General features: G+C 38.8%; 1 protein-coding gene and 2 long non-coding RNA genes across 16 annotated transcripts in view; 2 read left to right on the top strand and 1 right to left on the bottom strand.

Moving 5' to 3' along the window:
• CACNB2 (calcium voltage-gated channel auxiliary subunit beta 2) overlaps positions 815–17,147 on the bottom strand; it is a 403,134-nt gene continuing 386,801 nt past the window's right edge. For all 14 annotated transcript variants that reach the window (NM_201571.4, NM_001167945.2, NM_201572.4 and 11 more), the window contains 5 exons: positions 16,675–16,784; positions 10,145–10,296; positions 8,176–8,271; positions 6,007–6,192; positions 815–5,142 (listed from right to left, as the gene is read on the bottom strand). In NM_201571.4, the coding sequence (NP_963865.2) occupies positions 4,648–5,142; positions 6,007–6,192; positions 8,176–8,271; positions 10,145–10,296; positions 16,675–16,784 (1,039 nt within the window). In that variant the 3' untranslated portion in view covers positions 815–4,647. The remainder of the gene's footprint in view (positions 5,143–6,006; positions 6,193–8,175; positions 8,272–10,144; positions 10,297–16,674; positions 16,785–17,147) is intronic.
• CACNB2-AS1 (CACNB2 antisense RNA 1) overlaps positions 5,096–17,147 on the top strand; it is a 26,661-nt gene continuing 14,609 nt past the window's right edge. Inside the window, exon 1 of the long non-coding RNA XR_007062076.1 lies at positions 5,096–5,178. This is a non-coding gene — a long non-coding RNA (CACNB2 antisense RNA 1). The remainder of the gene's footprint in view (positions 5,179–17,147) is intronic.
• LOC124902387 (uncharacterized) lies at positions 9,576–12,523 on the top strand. Its single transcript, XR_007062077.1, has 2 exons — positions 9,576–11,335; positions 12,411–12,523. It is a non-coding gene; the product is annotated as an uncharacterized LOC124902387 (long non-coding RNA).

Raw genomic sequence — 17,147 nt, 5'->3', positions numbered from 1 at the left:
CATAACTATTTATTGTATCCATAAGGATTGCAAGGTCTCTTGGATCAGGTAAGACCTTTAGATTGCCTCTTCTTTAAAGGAGGCTTTCTTGAATACCTTTCCCTGAGGTTGGATAGGCACTGCTCCCCTTCTCTGTGCCCCTGGCTCCCACATCTAATGTTCTCCTGGCACTTACGACACTCTCATTCAAATTTTCTAGCCATGCACCTTAAGCCCCAGCCCCACACCTGGGAAACATCCTCCAGGCAGAGACCCTGTCCTGCCGTTTCTCTGTCACAGCTTCAGAGCAAACAGTCAATAGATGATTATTGTTTGAGAGAAAAATTATTTCAAGCAAACATGTGTCTCTCTTACATCCCTCATTCTGCCTTATATCCAGTAGCTGTCATTTGACTAAAGAGAAACACTTTTCCTGTGGGACTTATCTTTTTAGGGCTCAGCATACCTCTTTAAACTTTAAATGTCTTTTAAGAAACTCTACAAAAATCATTTTCTGTAATGCTTGCTGCACATCCTTATTTGCTAAGCTGGGATGAAAATGGCAGAGAATCAGCCTAGCAACAAACTTTTACTGGTGTAAATGTTTGATTAATACCAACAAATATCAAAATACAACCAATGCCAGTAAATAGAAGAAAAGTATTTACATATTGGAAACAGGACAAAGAATACTATTCAGAATTTTTCCTTGAACAGAGCTAATTTTCAGTGGGTTTCTTCCTTTCAAAAACTTAAGCAAACTGGAAAATCACATAAACTTATGGGACATAGCAGTATAAGAAAAAAATGCAATAAGGTGAAAAAATCAGGGAAATGTGAGGGAAAATTAATATATATTTTAACATTTAATATTAACATTTCTATGAAACAGAAGAAGTACTTAAGTTCAACAGTGAGTACATTTACTTTAAAACCCTGTGTCATGTTTTAAATAATGAAGCAAAGTACAAATAGTTAAAAGTACAGCGCAGCAGAAATTAAACTCTTGATCCAGAACTCATAACTGACCCAGATTATTCTGCTAGAGCTCACGTTGAATAAAATATTTTATCTACGTGGAGGTATCTTTTTTTTTAATCAGACATAATAGGAAGATTACTAAAGGAACATAAAGTATTTAGCATTGCCCCAAGAAAGATGCCCTGCAGCTGGGAAGTGTTGAATATTTAATATAGTCTCAACTACATGAATCATTTCTAACATGGCAATTAATACTACTACTAATAAACAGTGCAGAAGCCAGCTCTTTATTTGTTTTATATGAATTACTTTAAACCAGGTTTGTTAGACAGTTCAGTGTAGCTGACAGTGAATGTTTAACAGGAATGCATAGCAGACCATGTTAAAAATGTGGCATTGTCCCAAAGTACAACATGACTAAGACATCCTACATTTAGCAGCACCTTTTTGTAACAGTAACTTAAATGAGCAGTAGAGAAAGAGCATAGGAAAGACTGAAATGGATATGACCAAAAAAAAAAAAAAAAAAAACTATTAAATACATTTCCAGCATTTTCTAGGTTGACTACAAAAATGGCTCTACAACTGAGTAGGTTAAGGTTAAGCCTTTGTTGTGTGAAAAGACTGTAACTTTACATTCCGCAGGTCAGTAAATATCCCATTGCCCTTGAGATTATTTCCTCATTTACAGATTTACTACACAGTTTACACATATGTCCACTATACAGTTTTTCACATATAGCGGCTCTTATGTCAAATCCTTCAAGCTAGTTCTTTGAGGAATATTCTGATTTGCACTAATATGTTCTACAGTAAAGTGCAAGCTAAGAATCTAGATACAAAATAAAAAAGATGGAAACTCTCACCACTACTTTTTGAAAGGGATTAATGATAGCAGCAAGTAAGATAAATACTAGCTATGTTTCAAGAATTTAAATATTCTAAAATCATTAATTGGGATGAAATAATAAAGGATTGAACTAATAATTGTGAATCTCTTACCATGACAAAAGTTTTATCAGAAATATTTTATAAATTCAATTTTAATTAGAATATGGTTTCCTACCAATGTAAGAATTGTCAAGTTTATTATGACTACTGATTTTATACTCAGTAAATAAATTTATGTAAACAGTGTAGGGCTAATTAACGAACTGAGGGAAATTTTTTCATATATAAGCTGATAAAACATTATATATGTAACTAATTTTTATTTTCTTTTTTTAAACACCAGGTTGTCACCAGGCTGGAGTGCATTGGTACAGTCACGGTTCACTGCAGCCTCCACCTCCTGGGCTCAAGGGATCCTCCTATCTCAGCCTCCCAAGTAGCTGGGTCTACAGGTATACTCTACCACCCCAGCTTAATCATTTTTAATATTGCGTTTTCTTGGGGGTAAGGGAAATAAGGAGTTAAATGTAAAACAGTTTTACTTATAAAAGGCTAAGAATATTTGGTAAGAACTTGGAATAATCAAGGAAGCAAAACAAAGTAGATTTTATAATTTTGCTGGATAGTTTTTTTTGTTTTTTGTTTTTTTTTCTTTTTTGGAGATGGAGTCTCACTCTGTCACCCAGGCTGGAGTACAGTGGTGTGATCTTGGCTTACTGCAGGCTCCACCTCCTGGGTTCAAGCAATTCTCCTGCCTCAGCCTCCCAAGTAGCTGGGATTACAGGTGTGCACCACCACACCTGGCTAATTTTTTATCTTTTTAGTAGAGACGGGGTTTCGCCACGTTGGCCAGGCTGGTCTTGAACTCCTGACCTCAGGTGATCCACCCTCCTCAGCCTCCCAAATTGCTGGGATTACAGGCATGAGCCACTGCGCCCGGCTGATTTATTTTGTTAAATAAGTTAATGTGCAGATCTGAAGTTAGGTAATTATACACAGGCATTTTCCTGGGACAAACTTCAAGTGCCAGGTACTTGCACTCTTAATACTGTCTTACCATCCAGTTATAACTGGACAAAATATACACTTGAGACACGGAAAAGGTCTTAGCCTTAAACATGATGACATTGTAAGCTTCTTACAGCAGTGTAATTGAGGCATGGAGATAATGTCTTCAAGGTTCCCCTTCTGTGTACATGTCTTATGTAGGATAATATTCTTAACATTTTATTCACTTCAAGTCACCCCATTTTGCCCTGATTTCTTCTGAAGAACAGAAACTTTGGTTATAAGAAGCACTTCTGGGTTCTGACAGACAGTGAACCTGCTGGAGTCGGTGGTGGGGAGGAATGGTAGGTAACTGGGAGGTAAACAAACAACAGGAACAATAGGCAAGGTTAGAAATTGAAGTGGGAGAAGTTATAAAAATTTATTTTCCCACGAAATAATTCCACAAGCTGTGTAAACATTTCTTACTAAAACAAATACTCTAACACACAAAGATTGTACATTTCCAGTGAAACACTCACAGTAAAATTGCCTGTATTTTCACTCTCTAGGAGCAAAAACAAGGAGGCAGCAGATGAATGCTTTCCTAGTTACCTTTGGCAGCAAGCTTACTCACATTCCCTGACTGCTCAATGGGTTGTTAAAGCAACATATAGCACAATTAATTAAATACAGAGCGAGGTGGGCAGAATGCTCGATATCAGTCTCTAGTTTCTTCGTTAGTCTTCAGCATTCCAATTCATCTCAACCATTCAGTCACTCGGTGCACACTTTCTTACATACGGACACACACACGTGCATATAGCGAGTTCCGGCTCGTAGACTCCAGTGCAGTGACTAGAACAGACACTAGCTACTAAGAATGTGTCACAATCAGTGTGAACTGTATGGAGTAGAACAACCTCTGGAGTTTTATATTTACCATAATTTATGGTGGAAATTACAAACTTACTTACAAGGATGGTATAACATTCAGAATTCAAACCTTTTCAAGTCAAGCAATCACACATATTTACAGTATGTACACACTTTCTACTAGAATGAGGATAGGTGTCTAGACAATGTTATTACAAATTTCCTGAATGTGGGCATTTCTAGTCCCTGTAATTCATAAAGCAAATCTGCTGACTTGGCATTAAGACTCTAAAATAGTGTGATCAAACTGATATATATATATATTATATATATAATAAGAAGGTGTTTGTTTGCAGAAATAACATTTACAAACTGTCTATACAGTACACAGTACTAGTACATAGAAAATAGATTCTAACTTTATGATCCCCTTTGTGTAAGGCAAGACTGAATCTGTCCCCAAATTTAGTCAGCCAGAGGTACAAGCAAGAAACAGTGGTCCATGAATGAATATGCAAATCAGATGCCTGCGTATTAACGTATTAAAAATCTGGAGAAACAAGAAATTCCACTTTTTATCTGTGCTGATTCTGGCTTGTTGGATACATCAACTACATTTCTTAAAACACTAACATCACCTGGGTGGCAACAGATTTTGTTCAAGTGGCAGCTACCCAAAACAGTTTTTGAAGAGTCCAGTATGCAACCGGAGGACTGCAGCCATACCAGGCCAATTTATGTAGCACTTACAAAAGAAAAAGTATCTCAATACTCTATCCATGCTATTGCTATTCAAGCAACAGCAATAATACAAAATATTACAAGACAGATCACATATGATTGCAGTGTAGACCCCAAAGACTTTGTTTTGGGGATGCTGTTAGTTATACAAGACTTCAAAAAAAAAAAAAAAAAAACACAAACGGGCAAAACTCATTGGCGGATGTAAACATCCCTGTTCCACTCCCCAGCCTCATTCCGTTTTTTTGATATCACTTCTCCATCCTTTTCACAGTAGCGATCCTTGGATTTATGACGGCTGCGCTGCTTGTTGCACTCGTTGTGGTCCTGCTCTCGATCCACGTCCCGGGAACGGTGCCGGGACTCCCTGTGTCTGTGGTCACTGCTCCCGTGGGTCTCGTCTCTGTGGTTGTGGTCACGGTGTGAGGCATAGTGGTCCACGTGGTCATGGGAATAATCTTCCTTTGGCTCTACGTAGGCAGAGTCTCGACTCTCCTGGGTTTCCGAGTCAAATGTCTCTTGCCTGGAGAGGCCGCGACTTGTCCCACTGCGATGGTTGTGGTGTGGGGCTGAGGAGGAAGAGCGGTGCTGGGATTTCTTGACTGGTTCCACACTAGGTTCTTCTTCAGCTTGGGAAGCAGAACGGATAGGAGCGGAGCGATCAGTCCTCTGATCACCTTGAGAACCCTGGCAGCGAAAGGAGCACACCAGGCGTTAACCAAGGTCAGTGTGTAAAGAACATGTCCCAGAGCAAGTGCATTCAAGCAGAGTCCTTTTTAAGCATCCGAAAAGCTGAAATGAAGTCTAACCTAGCTTCATCCCTTTGGTAACATCCAGTGGCATTTATAAGGCTTTATACTATACTATATTAAATTGGACTTTTGTAAGTGCCTAGAACAGTGCCCATGGTAACTTTTTCCTTTAAAAAAAAAAAAGCAGCAGCAGGGAAAATGTTCTTTTATTTATTCTCCTGTGGCTCAAATACAGATGCAGGTCCCTGAGATTTTTCTATACAGCGGTGTAAACTTAACTACCTCTGCTTGACTGTATGTGAGAATATTAAAAATAGCAAATGCTTACCTGATACAGTGATACAGTATGGGACAGGCACTGTTCTGTAGACCCTTTGTATATAATAACTCATTAATACAACAGCCCTATAAGATCATCTCTTGAGATTATTAATTCCAGCAGCCTCTTGGACAGGTTGCCATTATTATTCCTGAGGTAAGAACAGTTAAGAAATTTGCCCCAGGTTATCCACCCCACAAGTGGTAAGAGGTGCAGCCAGGATTTGAATCTAGGTGATCCACTTCCACAGTCTATGCTACTGTTTAGAAAGTTTCGGTAGTCTGTGTATGTTCCCAATATATTCTGTTGATGGTGCTTTTCTTACAGGTACATACACAGCTCATGCTGGACTTGCTTTGAGTTAATATACTAGAACAAGCCCCAAGCAGGCTACTGGGCTTGGATCCTAGAGGTGTCACCATAGGCAACCTTTTTTCTATGAAGATTGTATATATAGATATATATAAAAACTCCCCTTACCTGTGAATTAGAGGCTAGGGTGGGGCTAAGAGGCAGACTTGAAGTGGCTAATGTACGGCTAAGGAGAGGGTTGGGGAGGCTACTGCTGGGAGGATGGGTGGCCTTCCAGTAGGCCTCCAGATAGTCGGCAAGGTGCTCACAGGCATCCTCAAGCTGGTTCTCATCCAAGATCACATCGAACAGCTCCTGCAGAGGCAGACATTCCAGACCACATTGATGCCAGCCCAGTTTTCACCCCCTTCCCACCTCCATAAGAGGAGGAAGGGGCTCATGAGCTGCACCCCTTTGTACTTGCTCCTGCTTCTATAAGTGCTGCTACTATCTCCCTTTTTATTTAGTTAGGAAGTGTCTGACTACCTCAAATCATTGTTGAGGGCACTGAATGCTTAACTAATAAATAATGGCCAGAAAGGTAACAGTTGTTAAGGACATGGCAACCCAGAAAAGTTGTCTATCAATCAGCAATGAAAAAGGCATAGATACTATGGTAGAAAAGAGATGTATATATATTTGAACAGAATAGAATAGAATAGGAAGAAGCCTGTTCTTGACATAAAGATTGTGATATCTTTTTTCTTTTTCTTTTTTTGAGACAGAGTCTTACTCTGTTACCCAGGCTGGAGTGCAGTGGCCTGATCTTGGTTCAGTGCAACCTTGGCCTCCCAGGTTCAAGTGATTTTCCTGCCTCAGCTTCTCAAGTAGCTGGGGTTACAGGTGCCTACCACCAAGCCCTGCTAATTTTTGTATTTTTAGTAGAGATGGGGTTTTGCCATGTTGGCCAGGCTGGTGTTGAACTCCTGGCCTCAAGTGATTCACCCGCCTCGGCCTCCCAAAGTGCTGGGATTACAGGTATGAGCCACCATGCCCGGCCCAAGATTATGAAATCTGAATTTAGAAATTAATAAGGTAAGATTAGGATGTGAAATTTTGACATTGTCCAAACTTCACAGTAGTTCAGTAGAGAAGAAAATAATGCCACTTTTCAAAAGATTTTTTAGTGTTTATTATAAATTTTAACATATATTAAGCAATCAAATATTTATAGACCCTGAAATGGCTATGCTTAAAAAGAAAAAAAAGCCTGGTGCAGTGGCTCATGCCTGTAATCCCAGCACTTTGGGAGGCCAAGGTGGATGGATCACTTGAGGTCGGGAGTTTGAGACCAGCCTGGGCAACATGGCAAAGCCCCGTCTCTACTAAGAATACAAAAATTAGCAGGGCATGGTGGCGTTTGCCTGTAGTCCTAGCTACTTGGAGGGCCGAGGTGGGAGGATTACTTGAGCCCGGGAGGCAGAGGTTGCAATAGTGAGCTGAGACACCACCACTGCACTCCTGCCTGGGCAACAAAGCAAGACCCTGCCTCCAAAACTAAACCTAGGAAAGCTCTAATACCTCAAGGCATTGCATGTAAAGCATAGACGACAAGTGAGAATCTAGGTAACTTATTACTTAGAAATTGATTTGAGACCATGTGAAAATAAATGTCTCAGACAGTTATTAAGAGCAGACAACTTGATCCCTATGATCAGAAATGAATAATATACCAACTCCAAATAGACTCATCATACAAGCCAAATTTTCGGAACCAGGATCTTGTGTTGGATATTAACAAAGTGAAGTTACTGCAGGATGTACGGAAGCTTTTGGTAAGCTATGATCATCGTTTGGATTACTTGTGCTCAAAACACATGATCATGGAAGGAGGGAGGACAGTTTACTTTGGAATGAATACCACTGTAAGTGATGAGGATTCTCTTCCCTGACAGGTGTTTGACTGTTTTTTTCAAAATATAATGCCAGTTCTGGCCAGGCATGGCAGCTCATGCTTGTAATCCTAGCACTTTGGAAGACCAAGGCAGGAGGATCACTTCAGGCCAGGAGTTCTAGACCAGCCTGGGCAACATAGCAAGACCCCGTCTCTACAGGGGGAAAAAAAAAAGTTAGCCGATCATGGTGGCATGCACCTATAGTCTCAGCTGCTTGGAAGGCTGAAGCAATAGGATCACTTGAGCCCGGGAGTTCAGGGCTGCAGTGAGCTAAGACCATACCACTGCACTCCCAACATGGGCAACAGAGCAAGACCTTGTCCCCCAAAAAAAAAAAAAAAAAAAAAAAAAAAAAAGGTCTGATCTCTGTAACTGGATTATGCTGTATATAGAGATAACTTACTGGAGGACACTGAGCCAGTTTATCAGCTGCTACCATCTGGACGTTGAGGTGTTTAGCTTGAGATTTCCCTCGAGATTTTATTAACCTTTGTAAAACCTGTAAAAGATAATGAGTTTTTAACAGAGTAATAACTACATCCAGGTAAAGTACAAGGTACATTATTGACTCCTTTCTCTGGGGCCTTTTTATATACAGCACAAGGGGCTTATAATAGATGGAGCTATAAGATTATCTGCAAAATTAACATGTTAACATAAATCACAGTTGCAAGCTTTAAGCACTCACATTTTTTCTATGCTAGCAGCTCTCAAACATTTTATCTCACAACCTCTTTAAAGAAGCTAAAATGGAAAACTATTAAAACATTTATTTAAAAATTCACAATAAATCTGATACATGTTAAAATATATATATATATATTTTTGAGATGTAGTCTCGCTCTGTTGCCCAGGCTGGAGTGCAGTGGTGCGATCTCGGCTCACTGCAAGCTCCACCTCCCAGGTTCACACCATTCTCCTGCCTCAGCCTCCCAAGTAGCTAGGACTACAGGCACCCGCCACCACGCCCGGCTAATTTTTTTGTATTTTTAGTAGAGACGGGGTTTCACTGTGTTAGCCAGGATGGTCTCGATCTCCTGACCTCATGATCCTCCCACCTCAGCCTAGTAGAGTGCTGGGATTACAGGTATGAGCCACTGCGCCCGGCCGAATTTTTTTTAATAAAAATAGCTACATTTTTACACATCTCTCTAATGGCTGGCTGGCTGGCTTCATAGAAGACAATTGCAGTCTCCTGTTTGCTTCTACAGTCAACCTGCTGCAATGTCATGTTTTGGTTGAAATACGTGAAGAAAATCCAACCTCCTACAGATTTGTAATTGAGAAAAGGAGAAACAATTTAGTATAGTCTTCTTTGATACTACACTAAAACTCAACAAATGGTGGTTCCTTAAAGACTATTTGTTATGTGGAATCTGAACCTGCAGTGCAATTTTCTTACTCCATGACATTCCATTGGTCTGTCTTGAAAATTAATGTTATTCATTGATCATACAAACAATAATGGTTCACTGACTTCAGATCTTCCAAATGTTGACATATTTCATTATACATTATTAAAACATCATATTCATTAATATTACCATTGATCTCAGAGAAAACTTTATTGGGAAGCTTGCAAGTTCTCAGAGATGCATACAAGTTTTCTAAAATTCTGATTGTTGTCTGAAAGCTTGAGTTTTATCATTGGCAACACATGCTGTTCTCCTTTAAGTGACAGGCTTATTTTGTCCAAGAAAATATCTGCTACACCAAGTCGGAATAAGCATAGCCTGTCAGTTGTTGTTTGAGATAAAAATGGTATTCTATGAAAAACATGGCTAGTTTAGTTCACAACTCAATCAAACCAGTGCTTGTCCTTACTTTTTGGTATACAGCAGGAGCTTTGTGTGTACTTTGTTTTAGTACACTGAATATTAAAAGTCAAGATTTAATAAAAGTAATAAACTTTACTACTTTATAAGGACATTAAGTGAAATTGGCTTTTTTTCCCCTCAAACTGCGAAAGCATGGTGGCGGTGAATACAGTAACTGCTGGTACTTTGATACCACAGTCTTGATTTATGTTTAGACGCCAGCAGTTTTACCCACCATTGCTTTTGCATCAGCCATGCAAATATCAAAACAGTGAAAATGGCAAATAATGTCTTAGTATTATCATGGAAGTAGTTTTGACTAAATGGACCCTCTAAAAGTGTCTCAACACTCTCCAGGGATCCATGGACCACACTTTGAGAACAGCTGTTCTAAGCCATGAAACTATATCAATTTAAAAATTCTTGACTATCATGTCTCCTCAAATTCTCTATACATCATAAAGGCTATTACAATAGCCTAATTATAGAAAGCAGAACATAAAATACATTTTAGGAAAGTTTGATTATAGAGCAAACAGTAGCAGTCCTACTTACCTTAGGAGAAGAAATCTTTACATATACTATAATAGGGGCCAAGGAGGTTTTACTGAGTTGAGCTGGATGATTAATTGTATCCGCGTCAAGGACCACCAACTGCAATGTTCTTGCAAGTTCAAAAATCCTTTCGATTTCACTCTGAACTTCCGCTGTAAAGGGCGAAACAATTCAGTTAAAGTGCAGTATTTTTAAGATAAAGTAAAATGGTATACTGTTTCTTCAACAGAAAGGTGAGTAGGTCAGCCATTATGTTAATGCTTACAGGCAATAGAATTGATAAAAATTTACAACAGTAATTTATCCTTTTGGAAAGGGCTGTTTCTCCACACATCATTAGGATTTAAGGAATTTTTCTGTCAACCGGCTACAGAATTTACTTTTAGTATAATACTTGGATTGTGGAAATTTTTAGCTCTCTGCTGACATTCTTTGTGCTTGCAGTCTATGAAATCATTTCATAAAACTGCTGTAAAATAAGAACCTTGACATATCTTCCGTGTGTTCATTGCAGACCACTTTGCATTAGCAACCATGACAGGTTTTCCTTTCAGTGCACGGGCTGATCTATGTTTACATGTCACCTGTATGCCGTCTAGATGTTTATTAACAAGATGAAATACAAAATAAAACAGCAAAGACGTGAATGGCACCAGAAAGAAACTTATCCAAAAACACACCTCATATTTTCCAACCAAAGTAGTCATGTTTTAAAAGGGCAGTTTTCAGAGGCAGCACTACAGAAATCTAAAGTATAAAATTTATAGAAACTTATCACAAAACATTAGAATATCTAGTTGAACTCCGAGAAAATGGCATTCAGTTCATCTGTTCTGTGATCTCCAAAGACTCAAAAACCGGACTGTCTGACCGAATTTTCTGCAATGAGGGAAATATTCTCTGTATGTGGTCCAGCGTGGCAGCAGCTAATGGGCTACTGAGCACTTGAACAGGCGTGTAAATTTTTAAAATTTAATAAATAGGCAGAAGCTACTATTACTAGGCAGCATAGGTCTATAAAGCATAGTACATAGCTTTCACTTCCCACTGCAGTCGTGGAGGTTGAATTCCATGAGACTTTTATGCTAGCAAATGTGGATTTACAATTACCTTTTAATTCCTCTTAGGCCGTTGGATTCTTGCCAGAAGCTTCCTGGAGATAATTTTAACTAGTACCTTATTGAAGAAAAGGTAACTCTCTGGTCACTAATCCATCTGCCTCACAATATGTTATGACTTGAGTCCTTTTTTTTTTACCTAGATATCTTTAAAAAATCAGGGCCCAAACTACATGAGATACTAGCTTTAAAATAACATTGGGCCACTGAATCCCAGTCAAGTTACAACCTAAATTAATATTTACTGTAAGCATTAAGAAATCTGATCACAAAGATTTTCATCTTTGTTTCATCTGTTAAGTGTTCAGACAGTCACAGCATCCCGTGTAACTCCTTGCTTTTAAAGGTTTGAGTAGTACAAGTTTAATATGTGGGTTTTTTTGTTTTTTTTGTTTGTTTGTTTTTTTGTTTTGTTTTTTTTTTTTTTTTTTTTGAGACAGAGTCTCTCTCTGTCTCCCAGGCTGGAGTGCAGTGGTGCAGTCTCGGCTCACCACAATCTCCTCCACCTCCTCAGTTCAAGTGATTCTCTCGCCTCAGCCTCCCACATAGCTGGAATTACCGGCATGTGCCACCAGGCCCAGCTAATGTTTTGTACTTTTAGTAGAGATGGCGTTTCACCATGTTGGCAAGGCTGGTCTCAAACTCCTGACCTCAAGTGATCTCCCGCCTTAGCCTCCCAAAGTGCTGGCATTACAGGCGTGAGCCACTGCGCCCAGCCCTAATATGTGCTGATTGTATAAAACCTGGATAGCCTTAAAATATATTACATATATGGATATTATTTATATTATGTCAATATATTAACATGTTTTAATATATACACATATATAAAGATATTTGTGGTAGCCTTACATACATACTTTACACTCCGTTAATTAAAGGGAAAGAGTTTTAAAATATTTTAAAGTGGACTTTCAGAATCCTGGTGCAACACTGTATTAGTAGATACAACCTTAAGAATCGATGACAAATTCTGATAATACTTTTGACTTCAAAGTAAAAATGATGCTTTTAAAAATGGATGTATCCATGCTAGGAATTTTCCTTTGACAGAGTATATCATGCTCAGAATTTACTCTAATAAAGAAATGTCAGAAACTTCCCCAATGTTCGTTTCTGAAACTGAAAGTCAATTTGATTCTTTCCAGTTGTCCTAGCTAATGAAAGAATGCAGCTCAGCATCTTGAAGACGGGGCAAGCCTTCCTCATCTCCCCACATCCCACAGTTTCTTATACCCACTGAATTAAACTGAAAAATGAACACCTTTCTATGCTTTATATCTCTAATATCTATAAACAACAACAGGAACAATGTTTCCTCTTAGATAAAGAAGAGAAGCTACAACACTGATCATTAGAGAAATGCAAATCAAACCACAATGGGATACCATCTCCCACCAGTTAGAATGGCTGTTATTAAAAAGTCAAAAAATAACAGATGCTGTTGAGGTTATGGAGAAAAAGGAACGCTTATACACTGTTGATGGGAGTGTAAATTAGTTAAACCATTGTGGAAGACAGTATGGTAATTCCTCAAAGACATAAAGATAGGAATACCATTTGACCCAGCAATCCCACTACTGGCTATATACCCAAAGAAATATAAATCATTCTATTATAAAGATACACGCATGTATATGTTCACTGCAGCACTATTCACAATAGCAAAGATGTGGAATCAACCTAAAGGCCCATCAGTGATGGAGTGGATAAAGAAAACAAGGTACATAGAGGGTTAATGACACACACACTGGGGCCTATCAGGGTGGGAGGAAGAAGAGAATCAGGAAAAAATAACTGGTGAGTACTAGTCTTAATACCTGGGTGATAGGAACTTAAAAGTTAAAAAACAAAAAACAGAAGTTAACTTATTTAGAAGGAGGTTTCTGTAATCAAACAAAAAATACTGTAATAACAGAGTAGAGATGGTTACTTTCATTGCGGCTAGTGTTGAGGGACACCTAAGTGGTCAGTTAGGAATTAATAAGACCTGGAGGTAGCTCTAGTATGAGTTATTTAATGCCATATGTGTAATTCCAATGCCATTTTCATAATTACTACACACAAAACTCTTAATTTTGACCAGTGCCTGCCTTATCTTGCAAAAAGAATCTGTATAAGCCTTCTCTAACTACCTTTCTCCCCAGGCTCAGTAAATTCTGCCTCTCTGTTCCCACTGCCACATATCAAAGTGGCTTGGGGGGCAGAAGTGAAGCGTCATCGCTTCATAGAGCTTTATGGCCAGTGGGTAACATATTGAACCTCTTAGAACCTAAGTATTCTAATCTGTATTACGGAAATGAGGACTAAATTAATCCACATGCAAAGCTTCCGTTATAGTTACTGCAGTACTTGGCCTACACTAAGTGCAGACAGTCCATGACTTACGATGGTTTGACTTAAAGATTTTTCAACTTTATAAGAGTGTGAAAGCAATATATGTACAGTGGGAACCGAACTTTGAGTCCCCATACAACCATTCTGTTTTTCACTTTTAGTATTCAATACATTACATGATATACTCTACACTTTATTATAAAATGGGTTTGGTGTTAGATGCAGTTGGTTTGCCCAACTGCATTTTTTTTTTTTTTTTGCATTTTTGTACTTCTTGCATTTTATTATAATAATATTACAGCCTCCTCCTTGGCTCACTCTTTATTCCTTGGTCTGCTGCTGCTTTTAGAATTCTCAACCACTGACCAGCCATCTCTGTCTGTCTATATATACAAGATTTTGTCCATGTCTTCCTGTAAAACAAACACTATGAGAAAGAGGACTTTGTGTCCTTCACTTTTGTGTCCCTGGGCACCAAAATAATGGCTGGCACATGGTTGGTATTCAAGTATTTGCTAAATGAATGAATGCCTCCAGTCTGTACATGGTCTCCTACCACCTTAAGAATAATGACATGGTTTGGCTGTGCCCACCGAAATCTCATCTTGAATTGTAGCTCCCATAATTCCCATGTGTCACAGGAGGGACCTGGTGGGGGGTAATTGAATCATGGGACTTGGTCTTTCCCATGTAGTTCTCCTGATAGTGAATGAGTCTCATGAGATCTAATGGTTTCATAAAGGGGAGTTCCCCTGCACATGCTCTCTCTTGCCTGCTGCCATGTAAGATGTGACTTTGCTCCTCCTTCACTGTCTACCATGATTGTGAGGCCTCACTAGCCATGTGGAACTGTGATTCCATTAAACCTCTTTACTTTACCCAGTCTTGGGTATGTCTTTATTAGCAGTAATTCTTGTGAGCGTCAAATGATGTGTGGAAAGAGTTTTAAGTGTGATAGATAAGGACATAAAAAAGAAATTGCTATAAGCGAAACACATGATCACATTTTTTCCTGAGAACAGACTAATAGAAATAAGCTCCAACCTTTTCATGTCTTATGCCTGCCTCTCTCTGTCATGTCATCTCCCATGTCCTTCTTTTTAAAACAATATATTTTAGCTTAAATGAAGCACCTATGTTTTTCAGAAGCCTGTTGTGGCTTTCACTGTCTCGAATCACTGTCACCCTCTCCACTCCTTTCCCTTTTTTCTTGGCTAAATCCTGTCATCTTCAAGTCTCAGCTCAGGATCAGCTCCCTGGAAAAGCCTTTCCCTGTGCCTCCTGCAGCAACAGCTCTTTGGCAGCCAGTTCATGGCTCGACCACTTTGCTCATCACCCTCTATCTCAAAGGGCTCTTCACTGATTCGCCTTATGGCTACACCCAGCTCCTTGAGGGAAGGGGCTTCATCAGTTTCTTTTTTTATTCATGGGCTTCCACATGATATTTGGTATCTAGTGTATGCTCAATGAAATACATAGACTGGAAAATTCATTTAAAAACAATGTATAATCAGTAGTTGTAAAAAAAATCTTGGCAATCTAAGGAAATCTGTTATGTAATTGATTCCACTGATGAGTCTAAAAAATTACTTGACTTTGTTAATTCAGTTTAATTTATGAAATAAGCATTTTATAATAATTCTTGGCCAGGCACAGTGGCTCATACCTATAGTCCTGGCACTTCAGGAGGCCAAGGCAGGATTGCCCAAGCCTGGGAATTGGAGACCAGCGTGGGCAACATAGTGAGACTCCCTCTCTACAAAAAATTAGCCCAATGTAGTGGCATGTGCCTGTAGTCCCAGATACTCAGGAGGCTGAGGTGGGAGGTTTGATTGAGCCCATGAGGTCAAGGTGCAGTGAGCCATGATCCACACCACTGTACTCCAGCCTGGGTAACAGAGTGCGACCCTCTCTCAAAAAAGTCAAAATAAAAAGTAATTCTTGTGAGCATCAAATGATGTGTGGAAAGAGTTTTAACTGTGACAGATGATAAGGACATAAAAAGGAATTGCTATAAGCAAAACACATGATTACATTTTTTCCTCAAATATATTTCTAAACCTGTTACTGAAGTTTTGCCAACGAAGGGTTGTTAGGTGAGAAACAAAACTGAGTTCTATAATGTATCATGCTCATTGCTAACATATAAAGCTTATTATTTATAATAGTTTTTCTGTTATTTATATAATCATACTTCAGAGTAAACGAAGAACTTCTATGTTAGAAACCAGCCTCTCAGAGGATTTGTATATCTAACCTATAAACAGAGAAAAATTAAGCTCAAAGATCTGACACAACTCTCAGAAAGTTTACTTTATAAAAACAGAAACCTAACCATCCAGTAAGCAACATGTGTAACAGTGATTAACCTAAAACTCCAAGCACATACCAAAAAGATTAAATAGCAGCTGAAGGGTCTCAGTGTGATCAATTCAGTATACGTTAATAAGCAGTATCCACATACCATCTCTGTAAACACAATAACTCCCTACACTGTTTTTACAAATAAAACAAACATATTGATATCTATCAATAAATATAGCCAGGAATTGACTTCATCTTTTACTAATTTCCACACCCACAAATTACACTCTCCTGAGAATGATTTCATTATTGATATATAACTGGAATTAAGGAATATTTAGGATAATAATGGATATCATTTATTGAGCACATATCATGTTTAATCCTTGCAATGATTCTATGAGGTAGTTATTTTATTTCTTTTTTAGGATGAGGAAATGGAGGCTTCAAAAGGTTAATAAACTTGCTCATGGTAACACTGATGCAAAGCCAGGAGATCTTAGAGTCTGCAGACACCAAAGCTCATGTTAGTGAAAACAAACCACAACCAAAACATTAATGCTGACAGCCTGTGGAATTCTTAACTTGAAACTATCATAACAAATCCTTCCACACCATGAAATCAGTAAGACCATAGCAACAGCGACTGGCAGCACACACCTGTTTTTTCTATACTCTGTGACACATGGAATTATCATCTTGTTAGGTCTTCTCATCATCAACATCGGGAGAGGAGAGTTTAAAAAGCTTAAGCTCATTGCACAGACTTACCTAAGCTTGACCTTGTGTTGGATCTTTCTATTATTGCGTGCTTACTGGGATTGTTTAATACCGAGCGTTTGGCAAGCGAGATGTCAGCGGTGACCCTTGTGATGGATATCCTGTTGGAGGAAAAAGTCACAGAAGACCTTAAGGTTATTGGTCTAATCAAAGGGGATAGAAGTGTATGCCCCAAATTCATCTAAGTATGAAATATATATAGCAACCATATTTTCAAACCATATGTGTTAGGATACTTACTTATTCATTTTTTTTCTTTTTACTTATTCATTTTTATCTTGCACCTGCCTTACTTTGTTTTTTGTTTGTTTTGAGACAGAGTCTCGCCCAGGCTGCCCAGGCTGCAATGCAGTGGTGCGTTCTCGGCTCACTGCAATCTCCACCTTTCAGGTTCAAGTGATTCTCCTGCCTCAGCCTCTGGAGTAGCTGGGACTACAGGTGTGTGCCACCACACCCGGCTAATT

This window comes from Homo sapiens, chromosome 10, assembly GCF_000001405.40.
Source record: "Homo sapiens chromosome 10, GRCh38.p14 Primary Assembly".
Lineage (NCBI taxonomy): Eukaryota > Metazoa > Chordata > Mammalia > Primates > Hominidae > Homo > Homo sapiens.
The sequence above is the reverse complement of the archived record's forward strand: the minus strand, read 5'-3'. Positions and strand labels throughout refer to the sequence as shown.